The sequence below is a fragment of the Homo sapiens genome, chromosome 2 (genome assembly GCF_000001405.40).
Source record: "Homo sapiens chromosome 2, GRCh38.p14 Primary Assembly".
Classification (NCBI taxonomy): Eukaryota; Metazoa; Chordata; class Mammalia; order Primates; family Hominidae; genus Homo; species Homo sapiens.
In genome coordinates this window covers 145933570-145936197 of record NC_000002.12, presented here as the reverse complement: position 1 = coordinate 145936197, position 2628 = coordinate 145933570, and the positions used below count along the sequence as shown (strand labels likewise).

The 2628-nt window shown below is 36.3% G+C and overlaps 1 annotated feature.

Moving 5' to 3' along the window:
• Window positions 483-1478: an enhancer, noted in NCBI's record as "VISTA enhancer hs568". NCBI's record gives its function as "enhancer in: hindbrain (rhombencephalon)[7/11] | midbrain (mesencephalon)[7/11]" and the evidence as "EXISTENCE:transgenic organism evidence [ECO:0001131][PMID:17130149]".

The following is a 2628-nucleotide window of genomic DNA, read 5'->3' as shown; positions in this document are numbered from 1 at the left end:
TTGCTATATTGAAGCTGTTTAAAATCAATAACACAAAGAATAGAATATTTCATTATCCTTTAAAACAATATAGGAGGACCCTGCTCCTATCATTTTGACTTCCAAGAGAACATATAAAATTAAAGGTGATGGCTAAATAAAAGGCTGAATTAAACAGTTGCTTGATCCAGTAGACCCTGGGCAGGAACAAATGGCCATACCTGCACCAGAATTATTTTGCAACAAACCAAATGTAAGCTGTAGCCTGGGCAATACTACTTACTGCTAGGGTGTTAAGCCAGTCACTGTTTACTCTAAGTTGAGAAAGAACAATCTATCTCTGCATGATTTTCTACAACATCCCAACTCCTAAACACTTAATATCCTTGCTTTTAGAAACAAATATCAGACTTTATTTTGATTAAGTCAGATTGCCTAATGTTTTATTCTTCTGAAAGCGGGTACAAATACTAGAGTTAACTGATTTCTAAAATGCCTAAGTAATAGGCGTTTGGAGTGTGAAGAACCATGTAATGAGTCCATTCAACATCTTTTTGGGGGGCATCTTGTTTTCATAATAGGCAATGTTGTCTTTTGCCATAAGAAGAGAGGTAGCTTAAAGTACTTCCCAAAGTGGCAGAGTTGCAGAAAAAAATCCTATTGCCAAAAGCCAGTTTCTTAGCAACAGCACCCTCTAATGTGTCACAAAGTCTGAAGCCTTTTGGCCCCTCAAAGGAAGTTCCTTAGGTGTCTTTTACACATTGAATGCTTTGTGATAGTTGAGGCCTGCTGGCTGTCAACTCCGTCCCTTAAGGGAACTTGACAGATCTTAAAAAAAAAATCAATTTTAAACTCACATGCCCCAGTGGGTGCCAAAGCCACTTCAGAGAGCCTGAAAGATGGCTGAGTCGACAGGATTTGACTTCTGGAGGTAGAAAGGTGACAAACTCTATCATGAGAAAGGGGCAGCTTGGGGCCTCAGAGGCCTAACCTGCTCCCAGGATCTGGGGCCTGGTGTTGTATTGAACCTATTTATCTCTTTCATGGGCCTAAGGTACCACAGGGAAAGAAAAGTTGTTCAAAAAATGCTGGCAGAATTCAGGGGTGTAAATGATGAATTACTTTTCATCAGCTGAAAGGAAACATACTCCGGAACAATACTGAAAGGGAGCAGGAGCGGCTGACCCCTGCTTCAGAGCAGCCAATATCTTCATTCAAGAAGACAACCATGAAATTACACAGAAAATGGGATTGTCATGAACAGCCCCTTGAAATCTCAGTATACAGTCATTACTGCATGGGAAAAAGCCTTCATCCACACGTCATAACTTGTAACAGACAAGGAGGGGGAAGAAGAACAGAGAAAAAAAAAAGGCCTTGGAGTTACCAGTAGGAATGTCGAAAATATTTGTTGATTCAAACTTTCCCCTATAGCTTCCCAATACTTTTACATAGTTTTAACAGTATAGTAACTTTATGCTGAGTGAGGTTTTCCTTTTATGAGCTATTTTGAGAGAGTTTGTATAAATTTTAAAGAAGTGGCAAGGGGAGAGAGAACTATATATTTATAACGTCTTCACCCTGCAAGATGATAACATATGCCCATATAATATGTCCTCAAATTATTGCTTAATTAATATTCTAACACTCAATGTTAAATATTACTTAACTAATATAGAGCTTACTTAAATTCTTCATTGCAACTGTCACAGATTGTAAGATCAACTAATTTTCAGGTCTATGTTGGAAAAGTTTGGGTCAAAATATAGAACGGTAGAGCTGGAACATAGAATTTTTTAATAGGGTAACTAAAATATAAAATATTGGGTTTCCAAAAAAATGAAATAAAAATAATATATGTTTGCTTTGTCATTCTGGCTACTTTCTCCACTGAGTTTAATTAAGTTTGGTGTAGGTTTTTTTTTTTTTTCATTAGATGATTACTCATTACACTTTTTTTTTTTTCATTTATGTTCCGGGGGTTCAAATGATTAATCATCATGAAAATTTAAATTATAGATTTTGTCAAAAGTCCAGTTGAAAAAAAAATTGGAAACTATGACTAATTTGTGGAGTGCATTTCTTTCTGCAAGTGGAATGTATGTCACTGCAGGTAATAGAAGAAAGCAGAATAGGAAGTGCCTACTCGGACCAACTGATTCCTTGGTAACTTCTTGGATACTACTGCTTGGGATTTTGAGGTGTTTTCCACAGCCAGAGCACTATTTATGCTCTTTACCCTAAGTCTATGTTGAAAAAAAAAGTAAGCTCCATTGATTTAAGAATAGAACTTATTTTCTATGCTTATTAATTATCTTAAATCAAACAATGTAGAACATAAAACCAACTGAAAAGAAAGAATTCCCCAATAGATCACTTCAGACATGAAAGTTACTTTCCCAGAACAGCATTTCTCACATTGAATTCTTTGGAATTTAAGAAGATATGGAAGGTAGACATATCATGGAAAAACCGTCTTGTGGATTATTATGTTTAGGAAATGCTGACCTGAAGTAAGTGAAGGAATGAGTACAGTATGCCTAATAAACTTCCATTCAAGGGTGTAAGATACAAGTAGGCTCCTAAAGAATGAAGGAAATGCAACACAGTGGAAGCCAGGCTTTGCATTAAACTATAGATGACCTACAG